At 33.7% G+C, this 22,780-nt stretch overlaps 1 protein-coding gene across 12 annotated transcripts in view; it reads right to left on the reverse strand.

Moving 5' to 3' along the window:
• EPHA7 (EPH receptor A7) overlaps nt 1-22,780 on the reverse strand; it is a 179,540-nt gene that overhangs the window by 115,400 nt on the left and 41,360 nt on the right. For all 12 annotated transcript variants that reach the window (NR_164810.1, NM_001376466.1, NM_001288629.2 and 9 more), the window contains exons 4-5: nt 2,837-2,992; nt 1,298-1,633 (exon numbers count right to left, since the gene is read on the reverse strand). Coding sequence is in view for 11 of the 12 variants with exons in the window: in NM_001376466.1 (NP_001363395.1) it covers nt 1,298-1,633; nt 2,837-2,992 (492 nt within the window). In the remaining variant the exon portion in view is untranslated. The remainder of the gene's footprint in view (nt 1-1,297; nt 1,634-2,836; nt 2,993-22,780) is intronic.

The raw sequence follows: 22,780 nt of genomic DNA on the forward strand, positions 1-22,780 counted from the left end.
AATGAAGAATAGATTAGTCTGTGTCCAGGAATTTGGGATAACACTGGTTGCTTTTAGACAGCCAGCCAAAGACCAAGAGGACCTTGTTATTAGCTTGTTACATTGTTCACACAACACACTACTCTAGTAAAGGCCCGATTTTAATATTGTTGATAACGTAGCACTTTGTTGCATTTACTACATAGCATCTATCTTCAGCAATAAGAATTTTTGAAAAGACTGAGAAAGCCCCTAATTTCTGAGATTTCCTTCAGCAGTAAGATTTTTCTGAAGGTTTAGAAAGTCTCCAATTCGTATTTTCCAAAACATAACTAACCACAACAAAGAATAAGTTAAGGAGGGCATTTCAAGTGCCAGTAAGAAAATAAGTGTAAACTACCTTTAGGCTAAGCTACAAGTGCACTATTATCATGGTTATGCCATTTCTTCTGAAATCCTCATGAAATCTGCCATTTATTCGAATATAAAAATGCAAATTAATATGATCACAAATCTACTGATGAACTTAAAATTCCCTCATGCATATTAAAATGCAGACTCGTCATGTATTACAAAGATCATAGTCTATGTAGTAAAAAATTGGGTAACATTATGTGAGACAATGAAGCCAACTCTTTCATTATTCCTAATTATCATGTAGTTTATGATCATGAGCATAACAAACAAAAAGGTAAAAGTGTGAATACATCCTTTACTTCATTTTGACCACTATTTTCACTCCCCTCCTCTAGATCTTTCAGTGGAGTTATTTGTTTTATAGCAGTCTTAAGGGTTTACAATTTTATCTCCTGTTTTTTTTTTTCCAGAGACAAGAGTCTTAGTCTGTCACCCATGCTGGAGTGCAGTGGCACGATCTCGGCTCACTGCAACTTCTGCCTCCCAGGTTCAAGTGATTCTCCTGCCTCAGCCTCTCAAGTAACTGGGACTACAGGTGTGCACCACCATGCCCGGCTAATTCTTGTATTTTTAGTAGAGATGGGGTTTCTTGTTGCCCAGGCTGGTCTTGAACTGCTGACCTTGTGATCTGCCCGCCTCGGCCTCCCAAAATGCTGGGATTACAGGTGTGAGCCACCGCGCCTGGCCAATTTTATCTCCTTTTATTTCTCCTGCCAGATCTCTGAAGATGTTAATGAGTACACTAATGGTGTAACAAGCAACAGGAAAAGTTAAAGCTGTAAATAATCAACAAGCTGGAAGAATCAAGCTCTGTGCAGAGAAACTAACTAAATGTTCAAGTAAGACACCTCACTTAGGTAGTCACATTATTTCATTCAGTGAAGATAAACACAAAACATACCTGCTTGACCAGTGGTGATACTGACAGCAGCAAAGAGCCTCTGGGATCGGCTTAAGTCAGAAACTCCATTTACAGCTTCAACTTCAAAAGTATAATTAGCGTGGGCTAGCAGGTCCATGACAGTGACATAGTTATCCTCTAATCCAGTCTGCTGGGGCATGTATCCAATGTTACTCCCACAGGGAACACATTCGCCCTGCTCCCAACTGCACCGCTTACACAATATTCTGTAGGTCACATCGTTTCTTCCCCCATTGTCTGCAGGAGGACTCCATTCCAAACTTACTGTGGTTTGGTTGATGTTGAAAATGAGGTTCTGTGGTGCAGATGGAGGCCCTTGGGAAACCAAGAATAAATAAGTAAATAAGCAAAAATAGAAAAAAAAACATACAAACAAAAAGAACAAAAGGATCTGTGTGGGGCATTAAGCTAGTGGCTCAATTACCAAAGAGAAAACGAGTTGAAATGCTTTCTTTCACATAAACATTTCATTACCTTTACTAGAGAAGCTGTATAAAAGCCTCCTTGAATTCACTTGGCAAGAGGCTTTATTTATTTTCCTTTTAATACGTCAAAATGAAAACAGGATAACAACTGTCTTTGTACTTTTGCCACAGTCTTTAACTATTTTTCTTCCAAGCAATTAAAACAGTACAGTTAATGCACCTAAAAAAAACAGCTGTGCAGTAGTTTAAAAATAGTTCTCCTTTTAACCACATAACAGGGAATACATTTATTCATTTTAATGTACTCAAGAATGATTTATAGCAATGCCTGAGATTGGCTTTGGATTTGGATCTCTCAAACATTCATTAATTGAAGAACCAAGATGTGAGATTTGCTCTATTTAGTGAGGTCTGCTCTATTTAGTAATGGAATTTTAATTCAGAAACCATTACTTTTTAATAACATTTAATATCCATGCAAGACCCTAATAACTTTTTTTTTTTTTTTGAGACGAGGTTTCATTCTTATTGTCCAAGCTGGAGTGTAGTGGCACAATCTCGGCTCACTGCAACCTCCGCCTCCCAGGTTCAAGTGATTCTCCTGCTTCAGTCTTCCGCGTAGCTGGGATTACAGGTGGGCGCCACCACTCCCAGCTAATTTTTGTATTTTTGGTAGAGACGGGGTTTCACCATGTTGGCCAGGCTAGTCTCGAACTCCTGACCTCAGGTGATTATGATCCACCCGCCTTGGCCTCCCAAAGTGCTGGGATTACAGGCATGAGCCACCCTGCCTGACTGACCCTAATAACTTTTAATTTTACTTATGATTCTTATGAGATACATGTGAAAAATATTAAAATGCATCTTAATTTTGCAGACACGGAAATAACACCAAAGTTGATGTAAGATATATTTATATTACTAAACCTATCTGCTTATGAAAGAAAATTTTATCTTAATATTTTAAAATAATTTTAATATTTAAGTATAATTAAGAATGTATCACAAATTCAATATCTATTTCATTGATGTCACAACAGTACAAATGAGTGGAAGGGATTGGAAAGTCCTTTACTTTCATAATACAACTCACTTGTGCACGCAACGTATGGTGGGTCAGATGGAGCCCTGTAATACCCATCTTCACATTCACATCTGGAGGAGCCTTCTTTATCAGAAAAACTGTGAGTTGGACAACGAGAGCACTGAAGATCTTGAGAGGAAGACTTGTAGAACCCACGGCCACAGGCTGGGAATGCAAAAGAAAGCAAAAATTGAGACATGAGAGCAAATCGATCTTTAAAAAAAAATTGTATTATTTAGCAAGGAATCAAATATTAAATGTGATGTATGTAAAACAAGCTCTTGATGATAAAATATTCATTTTAGGGTATTTCACTAGCCAAATGTTATGATAGTTCATCTTAAAACAAAATAATACAAACAAAATGATACAGCAAACTTGCACCTGCAGTTGGCACCAGGCCAAAGTCTGGAGCAGAAAACTGAATACAGGCATAATTTATTTAGCCAAAACCTTAGAACATTTAATTCCGATATATAATTCAAATTTAACTTGGATTTCAACATAATTAACTGTTTGTTGGTCTGCATTAGAACACTTCAAGTTATGTTTTCTTAATATAATATAGCTTTAAACTAACTTTTGACATGTTGATTTGGTTCATGTTGAAAAACATTAATGTAACTTTAATTACCAGACTAGAAATAAATAACTATGTAAAATTTTTCACCTGAAAATGATAGAAATATATTTTCCCAAATTTTCAGGAAACTCCAAGATAGAATTTCAACCAATTTAAGTTATAAGGCAGGCTGGTTTCCACTAAGTGAACTTCTTTGTTACTAAAAATAATGAAATCCTATGAATAGGAGATGGCTGCACCACCAGAAACAAGGGGAAAGCCATCAACGGCAAGTAGATTATGGCCCTGTTTGTCCTCTGCCGAGAGAGGGTTAGGGTGCAATCACACTAACACAGCAACTTTTCTCAGCAACGAACAGAGATGGACAGCGAGCATTTCTGCCACCTCCTAATGAAGTTGCTCTTATTCATTTAGATTCTATAATTAAATCCAGTAACAGTGTACCATTTAATATCACTGGACATTTCATATATTTATATTTATTTTCAATGAAAATTTAGCAAGTTATTTTTACATTATTTCAATAATTTTTATTAATATAATATATTATATATTGAAGACATTCAATCTATTCTTCATATTTATTAAATAAACATCTACTTAAATTTCAGTAACCTTCATATTTAGCTAAAAGAAAATCATATCTGTAAAGAAAAGTTAGTGAAAATTTAACATAAATAAAAATTTAGCATTTAATTTATTGGCTGAAAGTTCATTTAATATTCTCCACTTGGGTATTATGCAAAAAATTAACCACATTTTTCACTCTGCGGGGCATGGAAAGCAAGAACAATCCTAAAGTACTGAGATGTCATAGTTTCCAGAAAACAGTTGAGTCATCCCTTAACTTCTGTTCAAATGCTGAATTTTAATGCACAATTTTGATATATTTGGGAGCTCAAAATAATTTAGGGGGCATCAAGAAAGTAGATTTACATTAACAAGATAGGTATTTTATATAATTTAAAGACTCAATTTAAAGGTATGTTATGTTGTGAATATAGATCCATCGATCAATAGATGATAGAGAGAGAGAGAGAGAGAGAGATAGATAGATAGATAGATAGATAGATAGATAGATAGATAGATAGAGATAGACAGATAGATTTATACAGGGCTACAACCATCTCATTGTAAATTTATGACCCACTACTGCCCTCAGAAGCCAGTTGGCTATGTTGTCTTTAGTTGGCTTCTCAATTAATACAAGAGGAAAGCAGTTACAAAAACATTAAGCAAAGATGCATAATGCATCTTCACTTGTTTTCAATAGCAATTATTGCAAATATAAGGCATAGAGAGAACAATGATATTGATTACTAAACATAACAAAAATATACAACCTTAAAATGTTTCTAAATATATGATCTTGTCACATTAAAAAATATGGTTAACAGAAAGGATAAAGGGTTTAGCTTAGATTTCTCGGGATGGAAATTCTTCTTTTTTAAAATATTCATTGTATCTTGCTTTATGTATTATTTGTAATTCAAAGATCAGAGACAACATTCCATAAAACAGAGAAAGCAATGCTTTACTCACAACTCGCTGTCTGAGACATTAAGGCCTGGACAAGTAAAACAAACAACCAAAGTAGACATACAGACAAATAAGAGGTGTGTGCTGACAAGTTTTTGATGACATTGTGTGTATGTTTACTGTTTTACAGGGCAAGGAGGTTATGGGGGGACAATGGCAACACGATTTAACATTTCCAAAATGATGTTTACTAGTGGAATTCCTCAGAATTCTCATTCTCCCATTGCAAATAAAAGCCTCTAAATAAAGGCTAATTCCCCTTTTTCCACAAATGAGGTGCATTCCTTGCTCAACTTACATGATTTCAAGAATCTATATGATACTAATGCAGAGAAATTTCAAACTCTTATCACTTAACTTTCAAATTACGTTGAATTTTGTTACCCTTTTAACAGATGGGAAAACAGATTTAAAGCAAAAGTAACCTGAGTTCTTCCAATAATTCTGTTTGTCTAGGATAAAACTGGATTTAAAACACAGGACTACTGACACTCAGCCTTATGCTATTCTACCATCATCATTTACTGTTAAAAGAGCCAAAGTTTGACACTTACGTAATGGGACTCAAGGGCTTTAGCTACCCTAAAACTTAATTTTCAATGGATCCTTATTATTTTTATTATACATTTTTACTAATTGAAAGCTATTACTTTAACTTAGAAAGCTATGAAATAATATCCCAACATACCTTAAGAAGAGATATTAAACAGATATTGTCAATTTCACTATGAATTTTGACACTGATGATACCTGCACAATTATGGAATATATGTATGACTATCATTAAATAGATAAAGGCAATACCGGAAAAATGTGATCATAAAAGTCTTAACATTTTTTCTTTGAAGTAATATTCTGTCTCAGTTCAGTTAATATTGAAAATAATAAGTTGAAGCAAGCCAGTTTTCATTTGATCTCAAAGGAAACTACCAATTTAGAGTTATTAAAAGTAAGTACAAAAGCGCTGGAGCAATGGTGTTGAGAGTAAAGCCAAGAACATGCAAAAAAAACAAAAGCAGTACCTCTTATAATAACAGTGATCTACTGGGTGGAAAAAGCTTGGGAAAGCAGTAACAGATGCTCTTAACATTAGAAATTGTGATAAGATATCTACACGAAATACTTAGAGTTAAATACTCAATGAGATAAAGCAGGGTAAAGTGGCATATCTGAGAGATACATACATACAGGAAAGTTAGACGAGCTCACCAACTACTCCCAGAAAAGCTACTTGGAAATCCAGGCAATTTCTCCTCTCTCTAAATGCAGCTGGTTTTCTGGAAACTACTAGTAAAAAGTCTTCAGAGGTAAATGCCTTCTGAAACCTTAAATTCCCTTCATACATAATTATGTAGTATACAACAACATTCTAGGAATTGTGCAACAGCAGTTTTACAAATTTTTCCTCTGCTTTATTTCTCAATCTGTTCAATAGCACATGAATTCAAAGCAAACTTTAATTGATATAGCATGTGCCCTTTGATATAGTATGTACCCTATGGATAAAGTTAGTGACATTACAAAATATAGCATTGTAACTTTGTGTCTTTTGATGTTTTTGCTTTTCTAACTGAACATTCACTATATTGATAAAAATTAGGGATATGTATAAAAATTGTTTTAAATATTTAATTACTTTTGTAAAAATAATATTTCACCTCTTATTTTAATAACAGTATTTTTACATGATACCATGAAGGCCTAGGATTGATTCTTTTGACTGTTCTTTTAGTCCTTAGGGCCTTAATGAATAAAATAAGCTCATTATCCTAGAGTTAAAACCTGTAATCTTGTCAGATTTCATATGTTAAGCAAGTTTTTGCTTAGTCTGTTCTTTAAATGCAAAACCACCAAAGAAAAAGGAAATCTAGGAGATACATGAAACTTCTATATACCAGAGTAATAGTATTATTTACTGCAATATATCTACTAAATTATATTACAACACATTAAGTCATAAGATCTGCTATATTACTGTTATGAAATAAATGTAGTTTATTGTATTTAATCTCAACTATTTAAATATTGTCCCACAAAGTTGATTTAAATAATATTTTTAATTTAAAATTTTTAACAAAGAACATGAAAGGCAATCAGGTTTCCCATTTATAAATTATTTAAGAATAAAAAAGCACCAAAATTCTGAAATCAAATTATTTAAATATACAAGAGAGTTGATACCAAAACCTTCTATGCTGATTCTCCATTAAATTCTCCTAACAATCACATAATCCATAGTTGTCTTCAATAGATGTTTTGTTTAAGCAATGGGATGCCAGGCCACTGAGACTATACTTGCATTATGCAGTCAGTGGACCAATCAGGGTACTGGTATAACAACTGTAAATGAACAATCCTAAAGGCCACCCAAAAGCCATACATTCCCATGCCTCTTTAACTTAAGCAATTAAGTAGAAATGGAATGTATCTTCTTCCTGAATGAGGGCACAGATACCCATACTTGGTCCAGTTTTTTAGGTTTATGACCTATAATTGCATGCTTGGGAGAAATCTTACCTGATTATATTTCTAAGGATCCCCCTTCCGACAATCTTGTTGCTAGAAAATCCACCTACTTCTAGAGTTCTTTTACAGCCAAAAAAAGATTTCCTGATCCTTAATGGACTGATTTTTTGGAACTCTTAAGCACCAACTTTTATCTCAGACATACTTCACACCATCCTGAACATTAAGGCACTGATAATCCATATCTTGCTTGGCTATCCTCCATGGCTGAACATTAGGAAGGCTTTGATAGGACACTAATGTCTTGACTCTATCCAAATAATTAAATCATTATTAGGGCCTAGACATTTCTATATTTTAAAAAAATTGTATAGGTGTTCAGAACCAACATCCTGGAGGTTCCAGGTATTTTCTTGGACTATCAAAGTCTCTAAAGAATACATGATAATAAAATATCTCCCCTATAACACTGAGGAGGTAAAATTAGATATTATCAATAATTTTTAAAAAGTGCAAAAATTAAAATCCATCAATAAGCCAATCAAAAATATGCAAGGAATCTGAATTGATGTTTCTCCATGAAAGCTTTACAAATGAGTAATAAACACATAAAAAATGATGTGCCAAAGGCTACTGAGCACTTAAAAAGATGTTCAACATCATTAGCCATTAGGAAAATGCAGATCAAAACCACACATCTACTAGGATGGCTATAACCAAAAAGATAACAAGTGTTGGTGAAAATATGGAGGAATTAGAACTCTCCTACACTGCTTGTGGGAATGTAAAATGGTGCAGCCACTTTCAAAAAGACTACCAGTTCCTCAAAAGAATAAACATTGTTACTACATGACCCAAGTAGTATATTCTACTCCTAGGTATATACTCAAGATAAATGAAAACATACATGCACACAAAAACCTGTACATTAATGTTCATAGTGGAATTATTTGTAATAGCCAAAAAGTGGAAACAACCTAATGTCCATCAACTACTGAATGAATTAGAACAATGGAATATAATCCACCAATTAAAAGGAGTTAAATACAGACACATAAAACAACATGGATGAATCTTTAAAACATGCTACATAAGAGAATCCAATCATAAAAGACTACATATTGTACGATTCAATTTACATAAAATATCCTAAATAGGCAAATCTATAGATGTAGAAAATAGATTACCAGTTTTCAGGGGATGGGGTAGTAAGCAAAAATGGCATTTGACTGTTGATAGATATAAGGCTTATATTTGGGGTAATTACAATGTTCTAAAAATGATTTGCGGTGACAGTTGTACAACTCTGTGACTATAACAAAAATCCATATATTGTACACTTTAATGGGGGAATTGTATGATATGTGAATTATATCTTAATAAAGCTCTCATTATAAAATCCATCAGGGCCGGGCACGGTGGCTCATGCCTGTAATCCCAGCACTTTGGGAGGCCAAGGCAGGTAGATCACCTGAGGTCAGGAGTTTGAGACCACCCTGGCCAACATGACGAAATCCTGTCTCTACTAAAAATACAAACATTAGCCAGGCGTGGTGGCAGGCACCTGTAACCCCAGCTACTCGGAAGGCTGAAGCAGGAGAATCACTTGAACCCGGGAGGTGAAGGCTGCAGTGAGCCGAGATGGTGCCACTGCACTCCATCCAGCGTGGGGCTTAGGCGACAGGAGCGAAACTCCGTCTCAAAAAAAAAAAAAAAAAAAATTCATCAGTAATGTACCTTCAAATCTGAACACTTAAACAGGCAAACATTAAGAAAAAATAGTAAATTTTATTTGCTTATATTAGTTTATTTTTCTAACATATATACTCTATATGCATCAAATTTTATAAAGTTGCATTTAGGTAAAAGAAATTACCTATGTACAACTACTGTGTACTCACAAAAATTAAAAACTAAAAAAAGAAATTACCTATGGATTACTTTTAAGACTATTAGAAATCTATTATCAAGGTATTGTTTTAACCTATTTGTTAATTTAGTATGTATTTTTGGAGTTTCATAAATAATAGCTTATCTTTTATCTGAGGAGTAATAATTTTATCACTTAAAAAACAGTCTTACCAAAACCAAGCTTATATTTAGAGGAGATTTTTGATACATTTTATAGAAATATTTGTGATTGAATTTCTGAATAGATATTAAACATTTTTATTTTTCATCCACATTACTTTGCCAGATGAGGTCTGGTTTCCTTCTCCCATCTCTCCACTTCTCTCCCTTGAGCTAAAGGAATACAACTTGACTCAGCTTCCTCAGGTCTTACCCCATTTCCAGACCTGTGATTTTAAGCACAACTGAACATTTTCTGAAGGAATTATGTATGTCTGTGTGTAAAATATAAGGCTTTGCAGATGTTGCTGGCCACAGTTATGCAGCTGTAAAGAGTTTATTAATTATGAACTGTAAGTAGATTGTTCTGTAATTGAAACTTTCTGGGCTTTAACATTGTTGTAAAATCTACATACAAACGTAGTTAAGAATTCTAATGAATGCTGTTATTTTATTTATTGCAGATGAATATTCATCTTAATTCAGGCAAAGCCAGTCTGTTTCCATAGGAGCTTTCAAATATTTGTGTCATATTAATATCTATGTTTCTATAAGGCAAAGGGGAAAGCACAGCTTATAGAAATAGTACTCCCACTGCTCAAAGAACTGACCTCATCTGGGATGGACAGATCCAGAATCTGTGTTTTAATCCTATTGACTATGCCTCAGTGGGAATAATTACAAAAGTCTGCCTAAAATACAGACCTCCTGTCACTAATATTCTATGATTTTTCACGTTGAGAATGAACAGCGAGCAGGGAGGATAAAAACAACATGATGTAATGAGTACATTATGGTTTGTGGAACAACATCCCTATCACCCTGGAACTAACATGCAAGAGTTTAGAAAAGACAGCATGCAGAATATAAAGTTTTTCATAACAGGTACTTAAGTGCTCGATGATAACATGGGGATTTTTAAAACTAACAAGAAAAACTCATTTCAAGGCATTTTACGTGTGTGTTTGTTATTAATTTGTGTTATTTAATTATTTGATGTTTTATTAATAACATATAGTGGAAAAGAAAAACATGTAAAATAAGAAGCTTTAAAAAGTTTCGTTTCTAAAGTTTAGAATGTAAAATGAAATAAAACAAAGCATTATGTGAACACATCTTTACTTAAATTTTCAGCTTAGAATATGTTAAGAATCTGGTTGAGGTCTGGAGTTATGACTCTTTATTTCATCAAATGATCACTATAATTCTGATGTCATTATCCAAATGATAAAAAAGAAAAAAAAAGTCAAGTTAGAATATTCTAGTATTATTTTTGTCTTGTTATGTATTCTACTTTATAAATACGAGCCTGTGTTGAAGAGGTAATATGATACAGTGAAAGAGATTCAGATTTTAATTCAAAGGATCTATGTTCAAATACACTCCACCATTTACTAGCATACAATTGGGGCAAAGCCACTTCACATTAGGCTTCTACTTCCTTATTTCCTTGTTAACTCTAACGTGCTACAGACATAGTAGTTTTTATTTATATTTCTATCTGCAAATGATTGTTTATAACAAGAACACAGTAATGAAATGTCTAGCTGCTAAACTACCTTCCAATTGTTTTAATTGAAATGCTGTCTTTAAAAAATGCATGTTTCTACCATCATCAGCCTAACCGCCCCTACAAATATACCATATAGAAACATACAGTACACCCACTTAGTCTTTCAGAGATGCCTTAGCAAGCAACAGTGTTAAAAAACAGGTTCTACAGGGGCTGTCCTGCATCCACACGGCACCCCTGATGGTGTCTGATTCTTGTCAGAGATCCGTCTGCCAACCGGTTTACCTCTCGCTTTCACCGTGCCATTGTTGCTGAACCTTGTCTGTGTTTCCGAAGATGTGCACATTCATTTTGGTTCATGCAGGTAAGTATCCAGAAATAGAATTTTTAAGTCATGTAAATTATTAAAAAGAATCAACTTGTGCAAAAAAGGAAAGATTCAAAATGAAATGCAAACCCTTCTGGATGTCACTCAATAATGTCCTCATAGGTTTACTCTGAGAGTTCACCCCATAGATTAAAAAAAATGAACTATGAAATCTCAGGATCTAGTAGCTGGACAGGAAAAGCAGTAAAATAAAGTACTTTTAGTTCTAATTCAAGTCTGTGACAAAACAGTATTATTCTGGGGTTCCCATGGACTAAAAATACTTAAATTAGAGGAAGTTAGCTTAATAAACTCAAACATTAAATTATTTATTTGTAGGAACTTAAAAGTCTGGCTTATTTGTGACACAGCACCATTTTATTCTACTAAAAATCTTCTTTGAGGACATGTCTTTATGAACAAGAGGCAACAATTAGGAGAGTTCTTACCCCACAATTAGTGTTTGGAAGATTTCAGACAGGAGGCACAATTTTCAATAGCATTTATGCCACTGCCAAGTTTATTTTCAAATTGTTCTCATATTTACTAAAGTATCATAAATTTTGCACATCAGTTTTATTATACATTCTCATTATGAAAACCTACTGAGAAAGGTCAGAGAGTGTAGGCTCTATGTTAAAAAATATGAGTGATAATTCCCCTTTTTAAGTAACATTACATTTGCTGTTACATAATTTTAACACATTTTTCAAAAGATAAAATTCATATTTTGAATGATAGACATTGTCAGTCTCACTATATAAGGTCTCACTTCAATGATCCTAAAGAGGTAGGATGGCTTGTTCTTTATATCAATTATAAGACTGTTAGAACACACACACACACAAATTATAAGACTGGCTGCTCTCCTAGTACGTATTCACTGTGTGGTCTTTACAAATTTGCTCAAGTTCTGAGTCCAGTTTTCCCATATATAAAATAGAGAAAATAATAATAAGACTATCTTATAAGATTGTTATGAATTACAGTGCATAGTTCACGTGAAGAACTTAGTATGCTGCCTGGCATAGACTAAGCACTCAATAATTAGTTAAGTACTGTGACTATTTTACAATGTCAATTTCCAAGCAAAGTTTTGATCCCACTGTAGTTTCTACCCCAGACAACCTCTGAACCACTTTCCCTATTCCCAAATGTGTAAGCAAATAAGAAATACAAATTAGTTATTAACCAAATATAGCCCAGTATTCATTCCTCGACCAAATTATTATTATTTGCATACTGTGTATCTATTACTGTGTCAGGCAGGCAATGTACCAAAAAGGTATATCAGCTAAAAAGACAAATAATGAGGATCTCTAAACACTACATTATCCTTTTGACCACTGGCTTCAAATGGTATGGATAATCAGTTGATTATGAGCTTAAGCTAATTAAATTTCTGATATTTAATAGTAAATTACTTATATAAATTATAAACATTGTACCTTAACTTGTATCTTTTACAGCATGCCCAATTATCTCCTATTTCAGAGGTGACTATAAATTCTGAAGTCACCTTTCCTGCCAAAGCTGTAGCATTTCATCAATGTGAAATGAGAAAACTACTCAGCACAGGTAGACATGCAGGAAGTGTGCAGGGACACATTATTGACCAATTTTATATATAAACTGGAGAGCTATCTGTGGCAGTTATTGGCTTGATTTTCAATGAGGCTAATGAAGGATCTGGCAATATAAGAATATTCTATAAGGTCAGGTTACTTCAAGTTAATAAAAATTGCAACTTTAGTCCAATTCGAAGGATTAAAATTGGACTATCTTGTGAGTGGCTTGTCAATAATTAATTTTTCTCCCATAATATATTTAAATCTATATATTTGTGGTGCAAGCCTTGAAAAATCCACAGCTAAAAAGAAGATAATTAATTTCATCTTAATTTCCTAAAATAAAGAGCTATACTTCTATGCAAAGCAGTCCAAGACATGGGCTTTTCACTATCAGTTTTCTGCGATAATTTTAAAAATGATTAAAGCAAAATTGTCAGTTAAAGCAATCGTTCTAGCTGTTTGGTGAAGACTCTGTTTCCTTATTTAGTCAGTTATAAAATGTGGATCAATACTAAGTCTTGTGAAGCAAATAACCCTAAAGCAGGTTAAGGCAGTTTGAACATGTGGGGAGGTAAATAATCATTTCTGTTATGTCAGTGGAAAATTTTCTGGAGATCATAAAGAAATCAGTTTACCCTGAAGCATGACATATTAAATGGATGCGTCAGGACAATGAGTGTATTCACTCAATCCTTAATTCTTAGAAATAAAAGAAAATAACAAGCAGAATAAATGCTTAGAAAAATGTTGTTGAGCTCAATCCTTTCTTTTTTAAAAAAAAGAGCTGGCAAAGAAAAAGAAAGAAAAGAAAAGAAAAATAAAGGCCACACACACACACACACACACACACACACACACACACTTGCAAGATACATAGAATTTTTAGAAATAAACTAGTAAGAATTCTGACTGTATTTTCATACTTTCTACTCCTTCATAAGAGAAAACCAGTTAATTAATTGCTGATTTTTACCTCCACACCCAAATAAATAATTTGCCACATCTCTTTGTATCCATTATCCTACTAACTTTGCATCCATAGAATTTTGCAAAAAGACAACGTAGCCAGTAGCAGAATATCATTTAATTGTCTGTTAAAACAAACTCTGCAGAAAAAGTAGCTACATATGTAAAGAATAACCCTATATAGTTTCATTCTTTTTAAAAGAGCAACATCCATTCTTCATGAATCAGTTAAACGCTTTGCCTCCTCCATCTTTTCTGAGCTCTTAAGGCTACTTAGGAGAACAGTTTCACTCAATACAACATACCACCACTATGTCATTCACACTGCCATAATTATTTCTTTATGCATGTGTCCTCTAACTCACCGTGAAACCCTCAAGTTCAGGGATTATAATATATGTATCCATGGATTCCCAAAGCCTAGCACAATGTCCAGCACATAGCAGGAGGTTAATCTATGTTTATTGAATGGACGAATGAAGGAATCTTATCCATCCTCCAGCATTATGCATCTGGTGACACCATCCCACTTACCAAAGGTTAATTCACTGACACCACTTAGTAAATTTTTCATAGTCATCAGAGCAATAGGACTGATGTGGCACATTCTTAGTAGAGGGGAGTGCAGCCTTGGCTACAGAAGTAAGGAGAGACACTTCACTGGCTTTCAGTCTTTAAGTCTCCCTGTTATGCTGCACAGGGAGACAACTGCACAGCCATGTTTAGACTAATACTTTAGATGATTTTAACATGATTCTGTAAGCATCCTTAATACAGTAACAACAAAAAGTATACGAATGAAATTAAAAGCATTTTAGGAGCATATAATTGAATACCTTCTCTGAACACAGGGGAGAAAAGGTCCAAGAGAAGGAAAACAACTAAGCTGAGAATTATAAGTTATAACAAAACTATCATTTCAGGGTTGTTTCCAAGGCAAAAATTTAAAGAATAATAGTTTTTTCCTGCTCTGGATTATTTAAGAAACTATCTCTCTTTAAATACATGACCTACCCAAACCCAAAAAAGTAATATTCTAGTTTTAGATTACTGAGAATTGCCATACAGTAAGTACACAATACTTTCATTTCTGTTGGTAATTTGGAACTAGACAGGCCACTATTAAAATAAATTCTAATAATTAACATTTCTATTGGAAAACAGAAATATCACTGATTCTTATGAAAAATAATTTCAATTTATTTCTTACTGGCTCTCTTTTAAATATTTAAACAATTGTAGAGTAAGCAAAAACACTGATTTAAAAACAATGGGATATTACATCTTTTGTTTTCTTTTATTATGAGCATAAATACACATATATATTCACACACCCTTCTGTACATTTGGTTTCCTATTACATTTCATATGTCTCTAAGACATACTAATTCATTTGATTTATGACCTATGGAGGGGCACGACAAAACTAAAGGTGAAAACTTATTTATATGTACATATACTACTTTACATTTTTCAAGTTATAAACTAGGCAAAACTGTAAAGTACCTTAATATTCAGAGTGAACTCAGAAAAAGCACAGTCGGCAAGGCGCGGTGGCTCACGCCTGTAATCCCAGCACTTTGGGAAGCCGAGGCAGGTGGATCACGAGGTCAGGAGATCGAGACCATCCTGGCTAACATGGTGAAACCCTGTCTCTACGAAAAATACAAAAAAAAAAAAAAGAAAAAAAAACTTAGCCAGCCGTGGCGGCGGGAGCCTGTAGTCCCAGCTACTCAGGAGGCTGAGGCAGGAGAATGCTGTGAACCCAGGAGGCGGAGCTTGCAGTGAGCCCAGATCGCGCCACTGCACTCCAGCCTGGGCGACAGAGTGAGACTCTGTCTCAAAAAGAAAAAAAAAAAGAAAAAGCACAGTCAGCTCTCTGTATCCACTGGTTCTGCATCCATGGATTAACCCAACCATGGATAATAAATATTTGGGGAAAAAAATAACAAAAAATAATGCAACAATACAAAAATACAAATTTTAAAAACAACACAATATAACAACTACATGCCTAGAATTTACACTGTATTAGATATTGTAAGTAATCTAGAGATTATTTAAAGTATAGAAAAGGATGTGTATAGTTTATATGCAAATACTATATATGCCATTTTATATAAGGGACTTAAGCATCTGTGGATGCTGGTATCCAAGGGGATCCTGTAACTCACCCCCCTTGATACTGAGAGGCAACTGTAATGACAAGCGCTACAAAGTATTAGACTCAACACCTATGTGTGCATATATTTCAATCTGAAAGAATTTAGAAATTTAGAAGTGAAGTACTGTTTTCTCATAGGAAATGATGATAAAGTAAATGTATACATTTCCAAATAAAAATGCATTGAAAGTTCTTACAAAGGAAATGAAAAACTAGAATATAATGATTGATTCTACCTCTATATTAATGGTGCTATAAACGAATATGTATAGAGAGCTGATGGTACATTACATCTTCCTAATTAATTAGTATACATCATCCCAAAACCTGACTAAAGATTTGAAAATGTCAATTTATACTAACCAGAACACCAGAAATAAGGAAGGGAAAAAATCAGTTCAAAGATTGCACCCAAATGAAGTGGTTAAGAACATACAGGATAAAAGCAGATGACAGATTGTGAAGACATACTGTCACAGATGGATACCAGGTGGAATGGATCAGACAATATTTTTAGAATCAATTTTTTTTCAACATTTAAGTTAAATTACCCTTTTGGGTAAATGTTCAAAAGACTGATAAGAAAACTAGTTTTACATGCATCTAAATAAACAGAATATCTAAAAGCTAAGGGGTGAATGATTTATCTTTATATTACTTAGGAATAATCAAGCATTGTATAAGAACTTATTAAATAAACATTTGTGAGTGGATGAACACCAATGATAAAGGAGGTATCTGATGCTTGAACATTTCCTTTATGCTTTCATTTCATTTCACCATAATGAGCATACTACCTATGGCACAGCAAAACAAAGGGTAATACTTGCCAAATATCAGCAATTACAGAAAGGGGAGTTACAACCTTATAAGAGTATGACTATTCCTTTTGCCATTTTTCAACATGATTATTTTGCAGTTTAAGTTAGCAGCTGTTTAAATAAGAGGCTAGAAAGTGAATCTTCTCATGCTACAGATGTTAAAAGATAATGTCTAGACATAGAATCAATAAGGTTTTAAGGTTTTTGATTTTCCCAGACTGAAATCCTACTCTTATCATATATTAGTGTTGAATGCTATAAAATATTTCACAAAGTTAGAATTTAGAGAAAACAATTTTTAGCAAGATAAGATGCATTGCTTTTTGATTGTTATTTCCATTACATCTTTGCTTTATAAATTTTCCTTCTAAGTTATGGCCTCAAATGGCATAGGTTGTCCAAACTTTTAAATAGTTTTCTGTTTGTTGATGAAATGTGTTGAGTGACTAACTCAAAAGCATTGTGCTTGCAGCTATAACAGCCTAAGTGCTATTCAATATGGTTAAACATTCCACTTTTCACATGAAAAATATAATAGTTAAGTTTATACATTGGCTTTGCCTTAATATCTATATCATGATTTCATTAATTTTTTAGTAAATTACTTCTTCCACTACCTTTTTAAACAAAATTATACTAAAAGGAGATGGAGAATTCTGAAAATGTAGTACTTCCTTCTGAATTATGGTATATACTCTTACAATTTAGAGTGCATATGTCTTCAACAATTGTCAAAATAGTTGTCTGGATTAAAATACATACATTTTCTGTTCAAATATTTAATTGTGATACATGATTATATAACAGAAGATATATTTGTATTTTGACATATAGTCAATAATTATAGTAATATATCTTTGGAATTAACAGCTAGAAACCACTAGTTCTCTTTATATTATATTTAATTTTATTAAAATAATCACAAATTCTACTTTATTGCTTCAATATCAAAAGGGAAAAATTACAAAGTTAACAGACATCTCCAAGAGCAATAATTCTTGACCTTTTCTTAAAATCTAAATGTTCTGTGTAAAGTAATTGTTCAATAACTTGGTCATGTGAAAAAAAGACTTGAGTCAAGAACAGAAGCCCTGACTTATTAGAAATGGTGAATTCCATAAGGCAGGTCAGGGAAACTTGCGTGTAATTTAGTACTTTTACACTGCATTTCTTATATTCAATATCATTTGTGAAAATTGTATGGAATAGGTTCTCACTCTTGCCATTGACTTCTACTCATGATTCTCTGGAATCTGATATTTCATGGTTTTGCCAGTTGTTTACCATATAGGATTATCACACAGTATTATGTGAGACAGTTTAATTAGAGAGCTTAGATGATGGTATCAAGATTAGTAGTATTTTTAGCTCTCATGATTCACCAATATCTCCAAAGCTATTTCTGTAGAATGACAAAGGTTTATGCTCTATTTGTCACTCTTCTTTTTTTTTTCTGGTGTATTCTCTTTCGAATAATCACAAGCTTAACATAAGTGTGCCATTTACTAATGGATTAGTATATTGTTACATGTTTTACAAAAGGTAAAAAAAAAATCACTTCAAAGCTCATTTGACATATACTAGTACATAAAGGAATAAAGGCTTTCACAATATACCTCATGTTTCATAAATACATCAATTAATTTTCAGAGAAATAAAGCATAACACTACATAAATAAAAATGTATAACATGTCAGAAGAATTATTAAGAATGTAACAGAATATTAAATTCCTAACCAACAGAGAGCCTCAAAATAACATGAAGTCGCACTAGAGGTATTTAACCAGAGCTTTTAAAAAAAATATTCAGGTCAAATCTAGAGATAGTTCTATGAAGGAGTACACTATGTAGTGCTAACTCCCTGAAGAGAGTCATTACAGGTATATTTGCTAAATTTCTAAAACACGTCACCTCCTTAGTGAAGCCATATCTGACCTCTGGGTTAGGTAATTGAGTCCCTCATCTGTCTTCCCACTCCTCTATTTTAGCACTACAGACAAGAATAGAGATATGAATTTATATACATAGACAAATACTCTATGTTTCTATCTCTCTATCATCTATCTGTCTCATGCTGAGTACATTATACCCTCACTAAAATCTTGCAAGATCATATTTTTCTAACTAAATGTAGAAGTGTCAAATATATTACCTTTATATTTCACAGTTTAATCATTTTAAGTCTTCCTTTTAAGTGTCATGCCTTACTAGCGAACCTTTGACACTGCCAAATATGTTGTGGTTTTATGTATATTTATAGTCATTGTAATTTTATTTGCCAAAATAGAAGAAACTTGTATCTGTGAATGCATATGGATGGTTAAGAAAATAATTAAACAACAGTGGAGACTAGTCGCTCAGACTGCTGGCTATGGAGCCAAACACCTTGAGTTCAACTCCTGAGTTCAAGTGCTAGAACCATCATTAGATCACCAATAGGAAACTGCCTTGGTTTCCTCATCTGTAATACAGGAATAATAGTGACACTTTCCTAATAGGATCACTATGAGGATTAAATTAAAGAACAATGTAAGAGTGTTTGGCACACAGTAAGTAATTTACACATATCAGTTAATATTATCATCATAATTATTATAACATAGTGAAGAATATCATTTCAAAAAAGATAATATTGCTTCCTCCATAACATACAAAAATTTCTGAATAGTTTTTAACATTTTTGCAATCTGTTTAACTGCCTCATTATATAAACCATGTAACTAAATGTCTGAAAGTTTCAACTTAGAAATTCCTTTAATAATTTCAACAAGTAAGGAAACAATGTATACTGGATCCTTGAAAATAATATCATTAAAAAATATTCATTTGAAAATAAGCCTGTTTTCCTTCTGTTATTGATCTCCATAAACTTACTTTGTTTAGCATGTTATTTTGGTAGAAGTACAACTCTACCCTCCACTCTATAATGGAAGAAAGTATGCCAAACTCATGTTCCAATATGTGTAACTTGAAATGTAAAACCAAACAACAAAAACAACTTAACAAGACTGATAAAAACTCAGAGAGGCCAAGCATGGTGGCTCACACCTGTAATCCCAGCACTTTGGGAGGCCAAGGTGGGCAGATGGCTTGAGCTCAGGAGTTTGAGAAAAGCCCAGGAAACATGGTGAAACTCTCTTTCTAAAAAAAAATAAAAATAAAAAAAATAGTGAGATGGCATGTGCCTGTAGTTCCAGCTACTCGAGAGGCTGATGCAGGAGGATCACTTAGGCCTGGGACACAGAAGTTACAGTGAGCCTAGCAGAGAGACCTTGACTCAAAAAACAAACAAAAAAAAAACTCCAAGATTTGGAAGCCTGAATTAAAAAAAAAAAACAAACTCCTAATAGGCAGCTAGTATAGATAAAAAATTCACTAATCAAAAAAGTAATGAAAAAAGAATAGAGTTCTGTGAAAATATAACTTACATTTGAAGTCAGTTCATGCTTTTTCTTTGCTACCCTAAACAGTGATGTAAGTCTCTATACACAATTTGCTGTTAATCTGCTTCCCACCTAACCTAAGGAATCTGACAATTTTTCTTCTAAAGGCAACTAAGAAAAACAAAAGCTCCCATTTTCCTCATTCATGATCACAAAAGGAAAATATTTTAGAATTTCTTCCATTGTTATTTCTCCTATCCAGTGGGTCCACAGAACATTCATTATAAAAGATTTATGCCATGTGGACATGGCAGAAGATAGTCAGAAGGAGGTGGGGGTTGGTCATCTCATCATTAATGAGTCTGAAAATAATCAAGAGAGGAAGAGAGAGGGCACACTGCTATACTGTCACCAGTAATTATCAGGGGACACATTTTTTTGTGTGGGGTTTCATTTTCTTTTTCTTTTTTTGAGACAGGATCTCACTCTGTCGCCCAGGAGAAGTGCAGTGGTATGATCACTATTCACTGTAGCCTCAATTGCTGAGGCTCAAGTTCTCCCACCTCAGCCTCCTGAGCAGCTGGGACCACAGGCATGAGTCACCACACTGAGCTAATTTTTAACATTATTTTTAGAGACAAGGCCTTGCTATATTGCTCAGGCTGGTCTCAAATTCCTGGTGCCAGGCGACCCACCTGTCTTGGCCTCTCAAAGTGCTGGAATTACAGGCATAAGTCACCACGCCTGGTCCATTTTCATAAACCAATTCAGCACTGAAAGTCTGCCACCAAATAACTGACATGAATTCTTTGAGAACATAACTGATCATCATGATATATGAGAACAGAAGCAGAAGATGCTTCTTCCAACTACTGAAATACATGTAGCTGATTGTCTGGAAAATCGTGTCCTTCCCTTATAAAATAACATTTAATGTCTTCCGTATCAATGTATTTGAACAAAAATAAAGTAGATTGTATGCATAAATGCATACCCTGTAACGGAAGCCCCACATTTGAGGAAATGTAAGAGCTTTTTGACTCCTCAGCCCTGGGCTTCAAGTTAAAGATTTGGGCAGACTCAGGTGCTTTCTCCTTCCATCTCTGAGGAAGACCCTCAAAACATAAATTAATTGTCTTTCTTTTCTTAAGTTCTCATCACCTACTCTATTGCTCGGATGTCTATGTTTCCTGAGACAAGCAGCATTGCATCCCTAGCGTTCCGCATTCCTGGAAGTATCTGAAAGTAATCACCTTGATGCTTTACATTTTACATATAACCACCATGAGGAAATCAAAGATCCATAAAAAATTTACATGATAATTACAAGGCTCCAACACTTTACAAATTTTCTTATCTATGGAATATAATTTCTAACTCTCCAGTGCAATAGTTTTCAAATGAAGGTGATTCTGCCCTGTAGGAAACATTTGCCAATATCTGCAGACACTTTCCATGATCATAACTGGGTGTGGAGGAGGTCTGTTACTGGTATCTAGTTGGTAGACATCAAGCATGCTGCTAAACATCCTATATGCCTTCCATAACAAAGAATGATCCTGTACAAAATGTCAATAGTGCTACTGTTGAGAAATTCTGTTTTAATACAAACAGGTATCAGTTTTACTTCTAGGCTCCAGGTATGTCCTTGTAATAGAGCCCATCCTAACTAAACAAAATAAATAATGGTTATTGCTAGTTTTTTTTTCAAAATATTTAAACAAAAAAAACCATAATTTCATTAGAAAAGTTAGTTTCATCCTTTAAAATATTAGGTTTTCTTCAAAGTTCCCTAGATGATTTGCTTGGAAATTAACTTTGAAATAATTCTGTAAAATAAGAAAAAAGCTTTGAAAAACTAAAAAAAAAAATGTGCTACATAGATTTAAGTTGACAGAACTATTGTTATTTCCACCATCCCTTATCTTATATCAGTGTCCCTATTTCAAATTTCAAAAGGAAAACCAGAAGAAAATCTCCCTCCAAATTTGTCATTCCTTTAACAGCAGAAAACTTAAAAGTTTCTACTTTCTTCTACCTCTCATATCAATGTAATCAATTCCTGTTTGTTATTCTTTTGACCCTCTCATAACAGTAACTCTGTGTCAAATCGTTATCATACTTCACCTCATTCAGGATCCTACATTCCTGATTTGTTTCAGTCATTCGCTAATTCATTCAAGAAATATTCTGGGTACTTCTTATGTTCTTATTATGCTAAGAACTAGACCCCTTGTAGGAAGAAAAACAGACACAGTTCCTGCCCTCATAGACCTCTCAGTTTGTAGAAAGCCAATAATAAATTAAACCATTCTAATAAAGCATTAGGTGTTATGAAAGGAGATCACTGTAGAAACATGGACTCTTTGGTATAACTGAAACCTGCAGAAAATGTAAGAGATATTCAAGAGACTGGAAAGAGACAATTCATAGGCAAATAACTAATAGAGAGGAAAAAGATCATGGCACATCTAAGGCAATGATCATGGTGCCTTGAGGCAATGTCAAA

This window comes from Homo sapiens, chromosome 6, assembly GCF_000001405.40.
Source record: "Homo sapiens chromosome 6, GRCh38.p14 Primary Assembly".
NCBI lineage: Eukaryota > Metazoa > Chordata > Mammalia > Primates > Hominidae > Homo > Homo sapiens.